This window comes from Homo sapiens, chromosome 14 (genome assembly GCF_000001405.40).
Source record: "Homo sapiens chromosome 14, GRCh38.p14 Primary Assembly".
Lineage (NCBI taxonomy): Eukaryota > Metazoa > Chordata > Mammalia > Primates > Hominidae > Homo > Homo sapiens.
Window position 1 is genome coordinate 65,668,015 of NC_000014.9, and position 15,305 is coordinate 65,683,319.

Sequence of the window (15,305 nt, forward strand, 5' to 3'; positions counted from 1 at the left end):
GCTATATGCATAAGATTGAAACTGGACCCCTTCCTTTCACTATATACAAAAATTAAGTCAAGATAGATAAAAGACTTAAATGTAAAACCTAAAACCATAAAAACTCTAGAAGAAAACCTAGGGAATACCATTGTGGATATAGGCCCTGGCAAAGATTGCATGATGAAGACGCCAAAAGCAGTTGCAACAGAAACAAAAATTGGCAAACAGAACCTAATTAAAGAGCTTCTGAACAGCAAAAGCAATTATCAACAGAGTAAACAGACAGCCAACAGAATGGGAGAAAATATTTGCAAGCTATGAAAGGTCTAATATCCAGAATCTATAAGGAACTTAACAAGGAAAAAGCAACCTTATTAAAAAGGCAAACACTTTTCAAAAGACAGACTCTTTTCAAAAGACATATACACAGTCAATACGTATCAAACATCACTAATCATTAGAGAAATGCAAATCAAAATCACAGTGATATACCATCAGAATGAGGCAACAGAATGCTGTTATTAAAAAGTCCAAAAATAACATGCTGGTGAGGCTGCAGAGAAAAGGGGCATTTATACATTGCCAGTGGAAATGTAAATTAGTTCAACCATTGGAAAGTGGTTTGGCAGTTTCTCAAAGAACTTAGAGAGCTACTATTTGACCCCGCAATCCCGTTTTTGGGTATATAACCAAAGGAATATAAATCATTCTGCTATAAAGACACATGCAATTAACATGTTTATCAGAGCACTATTTGCAATTGCAAAGACATGGAATAAACCTAGATGCCCATCAGTGGTAGACTGAAAAAAGAAAATGTGGCACATATATATCATGGAATAGTATGAAGCCATAAAAAAGAATGAGATCATGTCCTTTGCAGCAACATGGATGGAGCTGGAGGCCATTACCCTAAGCAAACTAATGCAGGAACAGAAAACCAAACACTTCATGTTCTTATTAAAAGTGGGAGCTAAACATTGAGTACATATAGACACAAATAAGAGAATAGTAGACACTGGGGCCTACTTGAGGGTGAAAGGTGGGAGGAGGGTGAAGATCAAAAAGCTGCATATCACTTACTATGCTGATTACTTGGGGTGTATACCAAACCCCACGACACACAATTTATCTATAGAACAAACCTGCATGTGTACCCCTGAAGATGAAAGATTAAAAAAAAAAAAGAGCAGTTGACCTCTCTGTACAACTTATCTTTATTTTCATTTCTCTTTCTCCCTGACAGAATCCCAAGGACTGCAGCAAAGCCAAAAAGCTGGTGTGTAATATCAACAAAGGCTGTGGCTATGGCTGTCAGCTCCATCATGTGGTCTACTGCTTCATGATTGCATATGGCACCCAGCGAACACTCATCTTGGAATCTCAGAATTGGCGCTATGCTACTGGTGGATGGGAGACTGTATTTAGGCCTGTAAGTGAGACATGCACAGACAGATCTGGCATCTCCACTGGACACTGGTCAGGTAAGGAGCTTGTGCAGCATATGAGATCTCTGGGCTGTTTCACTCAATTACCAGATTATTAGATTTCTAGGTAGACCTTCATGGAACATACTTATCTTTTCCTCTGGATCCATGAATACTATACATTATCCAGATAAAATCTAGAAGAACAGTATTTTATCTTAAAAGTATTTTATTATGTATTTCATTTCTGATGCTCATTTTTATGTGAATTTAGCAAAATCACTGAGTTTTTTTCAGGGAGCATAATTTAATCTTTTAATAATAATGATATGACTTTCACTCTATAAGATGATTTCACATTATTGAACTCATTTTAATATGAAGTAATCATCATATAAAGTAGTCCAGTTTATATGGACTACTATATATGAGTAGCATGAGCATGCATGAGAATCATCTGGAAGGTTTCATAAAACTCCATTTTCTGTTAAGGAAGGTCTAGGCTGCAGCCTGAGAGTTTTAATATCTGACAAAAGTTTTAGGTTTAGGGACCGTGCTTTGAGAACCACTGAGGTGGACCTTGCTGGTAACTTTATCTTCAAATGAAGCCTAATTTGTTTATGTGATTTTAATTGTATTCAGGAAACATTTAATGAATAGTAATGTGACTAAGGTACTATACTAGGCATTATAAGCAGATAGAAACATCAGTAAGAAATTTCCTTTCTCTCCAAGGAAGTGGTGAAGGAGTAGAATATAGAAAAGAATTTCTTACCGCTAGTCTAGTGCTTTTCTTTCTACAATCATGATCTTTAAGATCTAAAGTTGGGCTACCTTGTTAAAATTGTGGCTTTATTGTTTTGTAATCTTGGACAAGTTACTTAACCTAGGTCTTAGTTTCCTTATCAGTAAAATGAAGAGTAATCACTTTATTGAATTGTTGGTAGATTAAATGAAATAATATATGTAATGCACTTAGTACTGATATATGAACTTATATCTAGTAATTTTTAGCTATTATGAATAGCCTTTATTCATTAAACAAATGTATAATGAGTGCCTACAGTGTGACAGATACTGAATTAAGTGATCAGGATAAATACTAAGCAAGACAGTACACATCCTCTGCACTCATATCTTGTGGGAAGTCCAACATTTTTCAAAAAACTGAGGCACTTCAGTTAATATCATTTATTGTGGGGCTAAGCACCTTTTTTCACGAGCTACAACACTAGATACGAAATAGGGAGCTATGTCATCAGCAAAGTAACTTTGGTTCCTTCATTTCTTTTGCCTCCTTTGAAAAAAAATCGGTAATATCTGACTCTTTGCAGAAGTGTCATGAAACTTAATTGAGTACTTTCTATAAAATACTTTGAGTTGCTCTGCAAGAGGTCCTGTATGGATTAAAAGTATTGTGTTTTGTCTTCTGTAGGGTGTTTTAGAAGCCTTATTTTATATATCACCCGATTTTTTATTTTTAACTCACTTCAGATTTTAAGGTGAACCTCTTTATCTAGAACCTAGTTAAGCTTTAGTTTTAAGGTTATATCTTCCACTGATCTGGTCTGTACTTTTCACGGCTAGTGCCAACAGATTAGTTATAAAGGTTAGGAAGATACTAAATTTGTCATTCAGGAAAAGAAACTCTACCAGCCCCACTATGGCTAACTTTTTTCATTTCATGGACTTAGTTCAGTTTAAACTTCCTTGATTGTGGAAATAATAGCCAGGGCCAAACTATGTTTCCCTGGTTCTAGGGGGAGACAACTTTTTGTATGGTAGTCAGAAAAGTGAAAAGTTACAGATTTATCAGGTTTAATATATAGTTTAGCCCTGCCCGTGTGCTACAAGTGGTTATTTGGTTTGTTTGATTTTTAATCCTTACTTGTACATTTTGTAGTCGGTAGTGGCAACCACAGGGTATGAAAATTTAACATGGCTTGAATTTCAAACACTCAGAATTTCTTAATGTTACAACTAAAGAGGATGTAGAAAGCATCCTTTCTTTATTCATCTGGAATCAAAGGCCTAGTTAAGGCTAAATGACTTACCCAGGGTCATACAGCTTATAAATGCCAGAACTCTGGTTAGCACATTCACTTGTACATACCCCCAGTCTAAGTCCTTATCAGTAAACTCATGCCAAACACTTTACCTCGTTACTAGCAGAATAATCTACCATCATTACTAGAAGAATGATGATTAGAGGCACAGAAACTGCCTGGAATATCTAGGAATTAAATAATTTTAATAATTTAGATACCAATCTTTTATCTGAAAAGAGATTTCTTTTAAGCTTAGAATATTTTTGTTTTTATGAAGAGTATGGCTGCCATCAATTTATCTGCTTATTTACATTATCTATATATGTGCCCTTTAGAGAAACTATTGAACATATTTCCAAGAATTAGAGGAAATAGTGAATTTTAATAAGCTCCTTGACTTTAATTCTTTAGTTAGTCATAAATCAGCTGTGTCTGTTGTCATTCTGAGTTGTACAAAAAATCTTGGGATATTTCCTTTGTCACCATTACTGTGAAATTATTATTGTTCATACATAACTTGACATGATGTCCTTGCAGATGGAATTTAGTAATTCTTGTTCAAGTCTGTCCACCAGTGCAGGAATTAGTTTGTACAGTGATCATTTCATAGCTATATCATACCTTATTATGGTTGGTGTCTATTTTTCTCCTCCATTATTTTATGTTTGTGTGTGAAACTATATCCTTTGTACCAAGTAAAATGGTTAAGTGAAGGAAAATACTAAAGGTAATGCTTCCAGTAAAAAGTAATCAAAATATTTCCCATCACCTGTACATGCCATGTCTATTCCTAATAGTTTATGTGCCCTAAGGTTGTTGATGAAATGATCAATTTAGTTTTTTACACCACAAGATGTTTCCTCAGCCTGAACTAACTACACATACTAGACCTGATTCTTCCACATAGATTGCTTGTGATAATTCAAAATGGGAATCTTGCCTTTATGTTTAATAGTTTGAAGTACCTTTCAACAATATTTATTTATTGTTTTTTGTTTTGTTTTTAGAGACAGAGTCTTGCTCTGACACCCAGGCTGGAGTGCGGGGGCATGATCCTAGCTCACTGCAGCCTCGAACTCCTGGGCTTAAGCAGTCCTCTCACTTCAGCCCCCACAGCACCTGGGACTACAGGCATGCTCCATCATGCCCAGCTAGTTATTTTATTTTTTATTAGAAATAGGGTCTCACTATATTGCCCAGGCTGATGTCAAACTCCTGGCCTCAAGCAGTCCTCCCACCTCAGCCTCCCAAAGTGCTGGGATTATAGGTGTGAGCCACTGTGCCTGGCCTCAACAATTTATAATTTGGTTTTTTAAAGGATATTGACTATTTTAGGCTATATATGATGACTAGCTTTCAAAATGCTTTTCTAGCTTATATAAACAATATTGAATAGATGATTTAGTGATAGAGAACTCCACTTAAATTCAGTTCCCCACTTCAATCTTTTTCCTTGTAAAAATTAAAAATTATTCACCTTAACAGTTAAACTACCTAGGCTGTTCTGTCTTTCCTTCTCTTGTCTTTTTCCCACTGTCTTAATAAATACATAAGTTAAACTGAATTCTTAATATGATAAATGTAATTGGAAAATTTTATTTGTAAATGAAAATAATGACTAGTAAAAAAATAATTTATAAATACGATAAAGTTTGATGCCCTGGAGGCGAGGTGCCTGGTTTAAATACATGTTTAGGTAGATGACCGTTTGGTATATCCACTTATCTAAACTGAACAGTTACCTTCTCTCCATGCCTCATTTCCAAAAGGTTTTAGTCAAAGAGTTTTATTTGACATCCTTAAGGTTTATGTGGAGGCAACCTTGAAATAAAAGTAATTCAATTAAAGTATTTGCTATTTGCTAGATACCTATGCTGTACTACATGAAGACAGACACAGTCTCTTTCGTGTAAAGGGCAGTCAAGGGGGAAAGATAGACAACTGAATAAGCAATTAAAATATGTTGTGCTAATGTGGTGGTATGGTTAAGACTACCCTGAAGCAAATATCTAATGCATATTTGGGGTTCTTTTGGAAGAAATGATTTTTAAGCTGAGACCTAAATTATGAGTAGGAGTCAACCAGGTAGGGACATGGTGGAAGAATTTTCTGTCAGTGGGCACAACATGTAAAAAGACAGGCAAGAGAACATGGAGTCACTGGGGGAACTAGTAGTAATTCATTGTAAAGCTTGAATACTGAGAGACTAGCTAATGTTTCCTTTTAAAAACAAGCATCACTTACAGGATTTCCATTTTGATGGTTGTGTATTCTTGTTCTTCACTAAAACTGACAGGTTTTAATTCGAGAGTCAAAGCTGTTTTTTTGATTTTGGTTTAGAGAGTAGACAGAGTTATAAGAAATTGATTTCAGATGACTTTTTTGTTATCTCATAACTATTAAACTGTTTATTCAAATATCTCACTCAGGTCAGAAGGAAAATCTTTAGCAAGTAGAACACAAATGAAATTATACTTTCAGTCTTTCCTTTGATACTAATATTTTAACCTTTACAAAACTACTAAGATGTCTGTTGGAATCATCTAAATATTCTAACCAAGTTGTATCCTTAATAAGGATTGACGTCAGGTAGACTAATTTATAAACTGATATTAAGCAATAATGTGATTAAGAATATATAGATATAATATACATATTAGGCTATAGATATGCATATGTTAAGTCTTTTTACAGTAGTATTTTCAGTCTTTGATAATTGTATTAATAGAAACTTAAAACAAGTACATTTACTATTTTTGATCCCTTATGCTGCAAAAAATCTTGATTTCTCTGTTTAGGGGATCTGAGGGAGAGGAAGGATATTAGACTGTGAGTCTGATCCAGTTCTGTTGTTTTTAGCTTTCTGAACTTTGTGAATTAACTTAGCTTCTGAACCTCAGTTTAGCTCTTTAAAAAACTCATGATACTCATTATCTACCTCCCTGTCCACCTGGAATATATTATTAGGTTATAACCTGCAACAACAGGAAAGTTATCCTTTTATTCTGAGATGAAAATCATGCCTTTATAAGAGCTTCATATGTAGTTTTCTGTCTAAGTTAAATGGAAAAGTTGAAAGAAATACAGAGAAGCAAGATAACTTCTGAGAATAACTTCTAGACATTCAGAATATCTCTATGCTTAATAAACCCACAATTTAATCAAAATAAAATTCTGGGCCACTCATAGAGTCTCTCCGCAGCTACCTGAAGCCTTCAGCAGTTTTAAGTATTTTTTCTATCTCAACATACCTAAGATAGAAGGTATACTCTTTCTTATGATAGTTATTCTGTGTAATTAGTGAAACTGGCTTTGTTGCAGCAAAGATCTGGTTGTGCAGGAGGCTATTTGGAGAGTGAGTTGGTACCACATATAGTTGAAAAGCTAGCTGTCTCCTCTCCAAGATTCTAGTAGGTTTCTCTGCCCTTTACCTGACTCCTTTTAGAATCATTAACCTAAACAAGTATCATTGCAGGTACATAAGGACTTTTGATTCAACTGCTATAAAACTTTTTTGTTTTACTACTTATGGGCCACAAAAGAAAGAAAGATCTTTGCTTCAGGAATTTAAAATTCCAGTTAGAATATACTTAATGTCTCAGAAGAAGTTAAGCTGCTTTTCACCATTACATCTTCTTTCATTTCCCACTTAAGGAGATAGAAGTCTATGGTATCTCATTAAAATCTAGTGGGATCATCAGGAAATACAGGAATAGGGAACTGAAGCTTTGTCCACATTGTAGCCTTGACCCTTGTGAGCCTACACTCTTACAATTACAGATATTTATTTTCGTGTTTATCCTGTAAGTGCTTCTCAGATTGAGTTGTGAGTAAACCTGGGGAAAGTGAATTAGAGATTTGCAACCTACCAGGATAAAACATGGTACATTTTCTTGGACTATTAATTTTATTTACTGGTAGGTAAGCTAAATCATTTTCAAATAATAAAACAAGATCTGTAATGGTATAAAATGAAAATTTGATCAAACTCCAGCCCATTGATTGAGGCCAGACTTCATATTCTCAGTAGCATGAATTTACCTTCCTCTGCTGTTAGGAGCATTTTGGTGGAAAATTTTAAGAAACACCATTCTATGAGTTTTTTAGCTGTTTATTTCACCTTGACAGAGACTCCATATGGGAGCAAAGCAGCAAGGTACTTCTAGGTTATTTACCTTCTAGGTTATTTACACAGTGCCAAGCGTTTGACCAGAGCACATTAGATGTAATAAGAGAGGCCGGGCGCGGTGGCTCACGCCTGTAATCCCAGTACTTTGGGAGGCCGAGGTGGGCGGATTACCAGAGGTCAGAAGTTCAAGACCAGACTGGCCAACATGGTGAAACCCCATTTCTACTAAAAATACAAAAAAAAAAAATCAGCCTGGCGTGGTGATGGGCACCTGTAATCCCAGCTACTCAGGAGGCTGAGAGGGAAGAATCACTTGAACCTGAGAGGCGGAGCTTGCAGTGAGCCGAGATCGCGCCACTGCACTCCAGCCTGAGCGAGAGAGCAAGACTCTGTTTCAAAAAAAATAAATAAACAAAAAATAAATGTAATAAACAAAACCTGTCTCCCCAGATCCCCATCCAAATTTCAAAACATTACCCTTCTAGCTATGTGAAGCACTTTTATTAAACTGTAGATTTTGTTTTGAAAAAATAGTCTATTACCAAGAATGAATCTTTTAAGCAATTTATTCTCCCCTTTTTAGAAAAGGTTCTGGCAGAATGAGTTCAGAGATAAAAGGACGTGTGACTTAGGAAAAAGCAATACGTATTTAGCATCCACCTCACTATGGAGTGTAAACTATTTCATTGGAAAAGTTTCTGAAAAATCTCCTAAAGTCTATTTAGGACCTATCCAAGGTTGTTAGAGCTAGAGATAGAATCCAGGTGTTCTTAATTTCCTGTGGGGTGTCTGGGCCACATAGCCTTGATAACTGTCTCAGAAATTATCAGTGTTTTTATAAATACTGATATACCTATTATGATAGATGTATTCCTTAAAGATTTGGCATAAATTATTACAAATTGAGTCGTGTTTGAAACATTCCAGCGGAGCTAGATTACAAAGTAAATAATCTTTTTTCTAATAGGAGCTAGTAGTCGGTCCCCTGAGTCACCCCCCACCCCTCCTTCCTTCTTCCTTCCCTCCTTCCCTTCCTTTCTTCCTTTTGTAAGTATTTGGGTTTTTCTGTTTTCCTCAGACATACTTATGTGAATCTTTGAGTCTCAGTCACAGTTGACCTTCAACTCAAACACCAAAGTATAGAAAAAGAAGATTGCAATCTTTCAGTAGCATTTTGATAACAGAGTCTTGTTTGCTTAAAACATGTGGATCACGTTAGAGTGATTCTACAAACAAGATAATTGTTGACATTTTGAAGAAAGTAAAGAATGCATCCTGTCCCTTTTGGTTAGTTTTATATGCCAGAGCTCTGAGTATGATGTGAATCTGTAATTTCTTTGTCTCCCTTCCCCAGGATTATATAAATTGTAGGCTAATTTCATGGAATAGGAAATAATAAAGTCCGTGATCTTTAGTGGAGTTATACATATTTTTTTCCCTCCAAAAGGTTGTTACTCAGTAAGAAAGTTCTATAGTGGTTTATACATCAGTTCCATTGGAAAGAAAGACATATTTGTGTGTGTGTGTGTGTGTGTGTGTGTGTGTGTGTGTGCGCGCGCGCATGCGCGCGCACGTATGTGTGTGCGCATGTGTGTTTTTAAGTAATAGACTTTATTACTCATGCATTTTTGTTGCCTTAGCAGAAGGTCAAAAGCAGATTACAGAATCATAAACCTTCTTAGATGATACTTTGGTATCAGGCTTCTTTCTTTTGTTTTGCTTCCCCAAATACAAAGATCAAAAATATTCTTAGCAGTTATTGAAAATAATTAGAGTTGAGTCTTCCACCTCTTCCTAAAGAGGTCCTCCTTTTGATTCAATTTAAGTTTAGTCTCCTATTATAAGTAGCCATTAAACTTAATGCAGGTTATATTCTCTGGAAGCAAGAAATTGCAACTAGTGATACTATAAGTCATACTGATTTTCCCAAAAGATATATTACAATTAGAGTTATCATTTTTGTTCAGATTTTGATATCCAACTTTACTTTTGAAAAAGTACAACTGCCAGCAAATACTGTATTAGGTATAAATAATGGGCACATTTATATTTATAATGTTTTTAATTATAAAGTTTCTTTAAAAAAAATGGATCAGTACCATAAACAGGGAAGTACACTAGTCATTCAGTAAAAATTTGAATGTTTCTAGATGCCATGGGAAATATAAAGATGACTCTTCAGGAACTTGTCATTGAGTATCATGAGACCCATACATCTGTAAATGTAAAAAAGGTAGTGTCATAAGAGAGGTATAAGGTCCTGTGGGCCACCAGAGAATAGAAAAACTGTTTCTGGCTAAAGCAATCAGAGACTTCACTAGATCCATGAGCTGGGCTCTTAGAGAATGAAGAACATCATTTACCAGGACAGATCAGTGTCATTGATTTGGAGTCAGAAGTTATTAGCTGTGTTACTTTGGGTAGTGTCCCTTAACCTCCCTGTTCTGTGTACCTTACAGAGTTGTTATGAGCATTCAGAGTGATAATATATTTGACAGTGGTTTATATATTCTAAATCACCATATGTTATTATTACCACTTTAGTTTTATGGGAACAAAGCAAAATAACAATAATAGCATGATTGGGTTATAGAGTTTCAGCAGGGCTTCTTTTAACTTTAACAGCCAACATTAATGAAACTCAGAGCTACTTGATGGCTTTTTGTGTAGCCATCCTCCCAAAGAGAGCCAGCTTTGGCTCCCTAGCTCCCCTAGCCCACATGAGGATCATTCTCCACTTCTGTTGGGTTTTATTTAGGTTGCCCTGTAAAAATCTCAGTGTCTAGGCTGACTAAACATCAAAAATATGCTCCTAATCAAGGAGCTGACCAGTTTCTCTTAGTTTCTGGGACAGGGTTGCCTTCTTAGCTAGAGCCATCGCTGACCCCAGTCAGAGAGCTCTCCTGACAAAACAGTCTTCAGATAGTCTTTTTAAGGTCTCCAAGTTGATAGGATGATGGCTGGGAGTAAAGGGGGGTACTAGGAATAAACCATTTTGTCTTGGAGCTCTAATATGTATATAATACTAAGAGAAGCAAAAATAGGCCCCTGTGAAGCCTCTACTCTGTGGGAGCTAACGCTTAGGAATCTGAACATACCCCAGGTAGGAATTTCCACGTAAATTTTACCTAAAAGTAGAAAGGGTTTTTTCATTTAAAAGTCTTTTTTTCTAAACACTGCAATGGAATTGTACAAATCCTAAGGATCTGAATATTAGAAATAAATACATAACAGTGAGGGCCTTTGACTGAGAAAACATCCCTTTGGTATCTCTCTATTGACTGGAAGGAGCTACATAATGCCAGACCAGCAGAGATTATGTAAGCAACCAAAAACGTAGTATTGAAGCACTGCAGCATGATCCTTTCCTCTCTAGGTTTTGGGTCTTGTATATTATATTTGAAGCTATTATTTAGTGCATCTAGGTTCTGGCTAGGAATGAACTGGAACATTTCAGTGGGATTTTAAGGCATGGTGAAAAAAGTAGTTGATGAAAGAGTAAATCACCGTGTTTTTCTTTCTTTGCTGCCACTGCCCATCTTGCTGTGTTCACTGAAATCAAGTGTAGGAGTTGGGGAGTAGGTTAAATACCTGCCTCTGCTGCTACATCTGGCAAATCTTGATCCATATAATTTAGAATTAATAATAGGACATTGGCAAAAATAGGCATTATACTGTATGTTCCTCTTTTCTAGATTAGATCCAGTACCAACCATGGGGCCACCCAAATTGAGACATTAGAATCTATACAGCAATCTTTCTGCATTCTTTGGAAATATAATACCTAGATTGAATTCAGAATATGTTATCTACATTTTAAAAGTTATATGGTGTCTCTATTTCAGAGGGAAGATTAATATTTTATGGCCTGTCATAAATGACCATCTTAGAGGCACCCATTTGTTTTATGTATGCATTAATAATGGAAATTGAGTTCATTCAACTATTGTAATTTTTGTACATCTGTATCATGATTTATATATTGCCTCATTGATGAGCATGTAAATTATTTCAAGTTTTTGCCATTATAAACAGTGACATAGTATCTTTATGCATATCTCTTTGTGCATATATATTAATTTTCCTAGGGCAGTGCTTACAAACTGTATCACATTATACTATATGTAAAAATTATTTTTACTGCCCATATTATCACCTGGGGGATGGTGGCAAAGCTACAGAGGTCTCTGACAGTGTGTCACATATAAAATCTTATGCTCTAAAAAAGGGCTTGACAAACTATGGTCCTCAGACCAAATTTAGCCCCCTACCTATTTTTGTAAATATGGTTTCATTAGAATATATTCATGCCCATTTGTTAGTGTGTTGTCTATGGCTGCTTTTACACTACAGTGACAGAGTTAAATGGTTCCAACAGAGGAACCATTGTATATGGCCCACTGTATTAGTCAGGGTTCTTCAGACAAACTGAACCAATAGGATATATAGTGAGATAGAGCCTGAAAGATGTATTATAAGGTCAGTACCTTATAATTAGCTCACACAGTTATCAAGTCTGAGAAGTTCCACGATCTGCCATCTGCAAGCTGGAGACCCAGGAAAGCCAGTAGTGTATTATAGTTGAAAGGCCAGACAGAGAGCTAGAGGGCTGATGGTGTAATGATTCCAGTTCAAGCCTGAAGGCCTGAGAACCAGGAGTGCCAGTGGCAGAAGACAGATGACCTAAAGATATTCTCTTATGTTTTCTTCCAGAAACTTTATAGTTTTAGCTTTTGCATTTATGTCTATGATCTCTCTAGTGTTAATTTTCATGTGTCACATAAGATAAGGGTTAAGACCATTGTTTTCCGTATTTTTATTCATTTGTTCTAGCCTTATCTGTTGAAAACTTTTCCCATTTGAATTGCCTTGGTCCCTTTTGTCTAAAATCAATCAGTAATATATGGATCTATTTCTGGTTTCTCCATCCTGTTCAGCTGCTCTATTTGTGTCTATCCTTACACTTTAAATTTTTATCAGCCATCAGATATTTCACAGCATGTTGATTAGAAAGCTGTACATATGCCTAGAAGTGGTATTGTTAGGTCATATGAAAGTATACGTTTCTTTAACTTGCCTACATATGCCTAATCCCTCTATGGAAAAATTATTTCAGTATCTCCTCTGCTCTCAGAATCCTTCTCTTTTTAATCTGTCTTCCACAGTGCCATCAGAATGATATTTTCGAAACCAAATATGACTTTCTCTCCTAAGGCCTTCCATGGCTGCTTAGTGTATAGAAACTCCTTGCTTAGAATATAGGATATAAGCTCCTTCACATAAACAGCCTGCTTTTCAAAATGTGCCCTGCACTCCATAATTCACTAGTCCACCTACAAATGTATTCCTTGAAAGTTTTGTGTACTTTTACTGATATACTGGGAACATGTAATTCTTCCTCTCTAGAGAATATCTTTCCTCCACTTCATCCCATGAAATCCTATTTATCTTTTAGTATCATTCCCTTTGTGATATTTCCCTCCAATTGTCCCCATGTTTTCACTGTATTTAAACAGTTCATGTTTCTTTGAGTATACTGTGAGTTCTTTAAGAAGCTTGTCCTATTTATTTTTGTTTCCTCATTGCCTAATACTACTGGCCAATACTTGTTACTCAGTTTTTTTAAATTAAATTGTCTATGATAAGCAGAATGGTCCTTGAAAAATTTTAATCTCCTTCTGAATCTATCAAATAAAGAAAATACCACCTTACCTATGTTATTCAAAGGTTTCTGGTGAAGAGCAAATGAAGTAATAGGCATGGAAATGTTTGAAGAATGTTTTAAAAATGTGATGGCCTTATTGTTGTTTATAACAAAATTTCACTAGAATTAATCCTCTTGGTTTCTTACAAGCTTTATTATGGTGGAACTTTGCCTTCATATATTTGCATTGGTTAAAATTATCCTAATATTAAAAGACTTTAAAGATTTTTATTTCTAATGTTTCCAGTAAAACTGAAAATAACTTAGTTAAAAAATATTTTTGCATTTAAAACTATAGAAAATAAGGCATTTTCTTTATAAAATCTCAGTTGTATGTGTGTATGTGAGTGTCTTTTTGGATATCTTTGATTCAGTGAATATACTGAGTACTGCTCAGTTCAGGCACTATGATCGTGATCACATTACAGTAATAGCTAATATTTAGTGAACCATACTACGTTACTGTGCTAAGAACATCACATATAATCTAATTTAATATTCACAATAACCCTTATTATCCACATTTTATATAGGTAAGTAACTTGCCAGAGGTAGTACAGCCGCTGATACAGAAACCCAGTCTGACTTCAAAACCTGACCTTTAAATATTGTGCTCAGGGATCAGCAAACTATAACACCCACAGCCTGGTTTTGTAAGGCCTGCCATATTTTCAACAGGTTGTTTTAAAAAAAAGATGTGACAGAGACATATGTGGCCTGCAAAGCATAAAATATTTACTATCTGGCCCTTTACAGAAAGTGTTTGCCAGCCTAAAGATGGTTAAAGAGAGTCCCTGTAACTCTGGAAGCTCCCAATCCAAATAGGAAATAAACACAAACATTTTAAAAGTCTGCCTCAAGAGGCAAAATGTGGTTAGTGATGTTATTATAAAGATTTAAACAAGAATCCCAAGGGGGCCAGGTGTGGTGGCTCACGCTTATAATCCCAACACTTTGGGAGGTTGATGCAGGAGGATCGCTTCAGACTGGGAGTTTGAGACCAGCTCATCAACATAGTGAGACCTGGTCTCTTAAAAATAAAATTTTTTTTAAATTAGCTGGGCATGGTGGCACATGCCTGTAGTCCCAGCTACTTGGGAAGCTGAGGTAGGATTGCATGAGCCCAGGAGTCCAAAGCTACAGTGAACTAGGATCATGCCATTGCACTCCAGCCTGGGCAACAGAGCAAGACCATGTCTCAGAAAAAAAAAAAGGAACCCCAAGGGATTGGAGGTTGTAGTCATTCCAGCCAGAAAACTTAGAAGAAATGGCATTTGAACTGGTTTTGAAAAAGTTGTAAAGTGACCAGACATCTTAGGTATAGAAATCTGCACACCCGGAGTACTTGGCAGGTGATGATAAAAATACTTGCCCATGACATGCCAAGATACCAGAACTCCTGGGCATTATTTTTCCTTCTACCTCTTATTTGCTGAATTATGTAGAAGAGTGCATCAAAACATCTGCTTCTTAGTTTAGCCTTTAGTCAGTTGTGAATAAAAAATTGGTTCTGATAGTTATCTTGTATTTTTCAAGTGAATCAAAAACAAATCTGATAGAGGGTGCTTCAGTGCAAGTTATTTTTTAAGCTGTAAAAATGTGAAAATGGTAGTGCTTTAGTTAAATAAACCTTGCATTTTGTATTCAGTCTTAGCTGTCATTGGATTGGCAAAACTGAAAACCAATGTTTACATTCACAGTAATTGCAATTTTTTTTTTTTTTTTTGATACGGAGTTTTACTCTTGTCACCTAGGCTGGAGTGCAGTGGCACCATCTCGGCTCACTGCAACCTCCACCTCCCAGGTTCAAGCGATTCTCCTGCCTCAGCCTCTTGAGTAGCTGGAATTACAGGCGCCCACCATCATGCCTGGCTAATTTTTTGTATTTTTAATATAGATGGGGTTTCACTATGTTGGCCAGGCTGGTCTCGAACTCCTGACCTCGTGATCCGCCCGCCTGGGCCTCCTAAAGTGCTGGGATTACAGGCGTGAGCCACCACTCCTGGCCAGGTTTC

The 15,305-nt window shown here is 36.0% G+C and overlaps 1 protein-coding gene across 13 annotated transcripts in view; it reads left to right on the forward strand.

Moving 5' to 3' along the window:
• The window catches only part of FUT8 (fucosyltransferase 8), a 387,280-nt gene that overhangs the window by 311,173 nt on the left and 60,802 nt on the right, over window positions 1-15,305 (forward strand). For all 13 annotated transcript variants that reach the window (NR_038167.1, XM_047431179.1, XM_047431177.1 and 10 more), the window contains one exon: window positions 1,229-1,466. Coding sequence is in view for 12 of the 13 variants with exons in the window: in XM_047431179.1 (XP_047287135.1) it covers window positions 1,229-1,466 (238 nt within the window). In the remaining variant the exon portion in view is untranslated. The remainder of the gene's footprint in view (window positions 1-1,228; window positions 1,467-15,305) is intronic.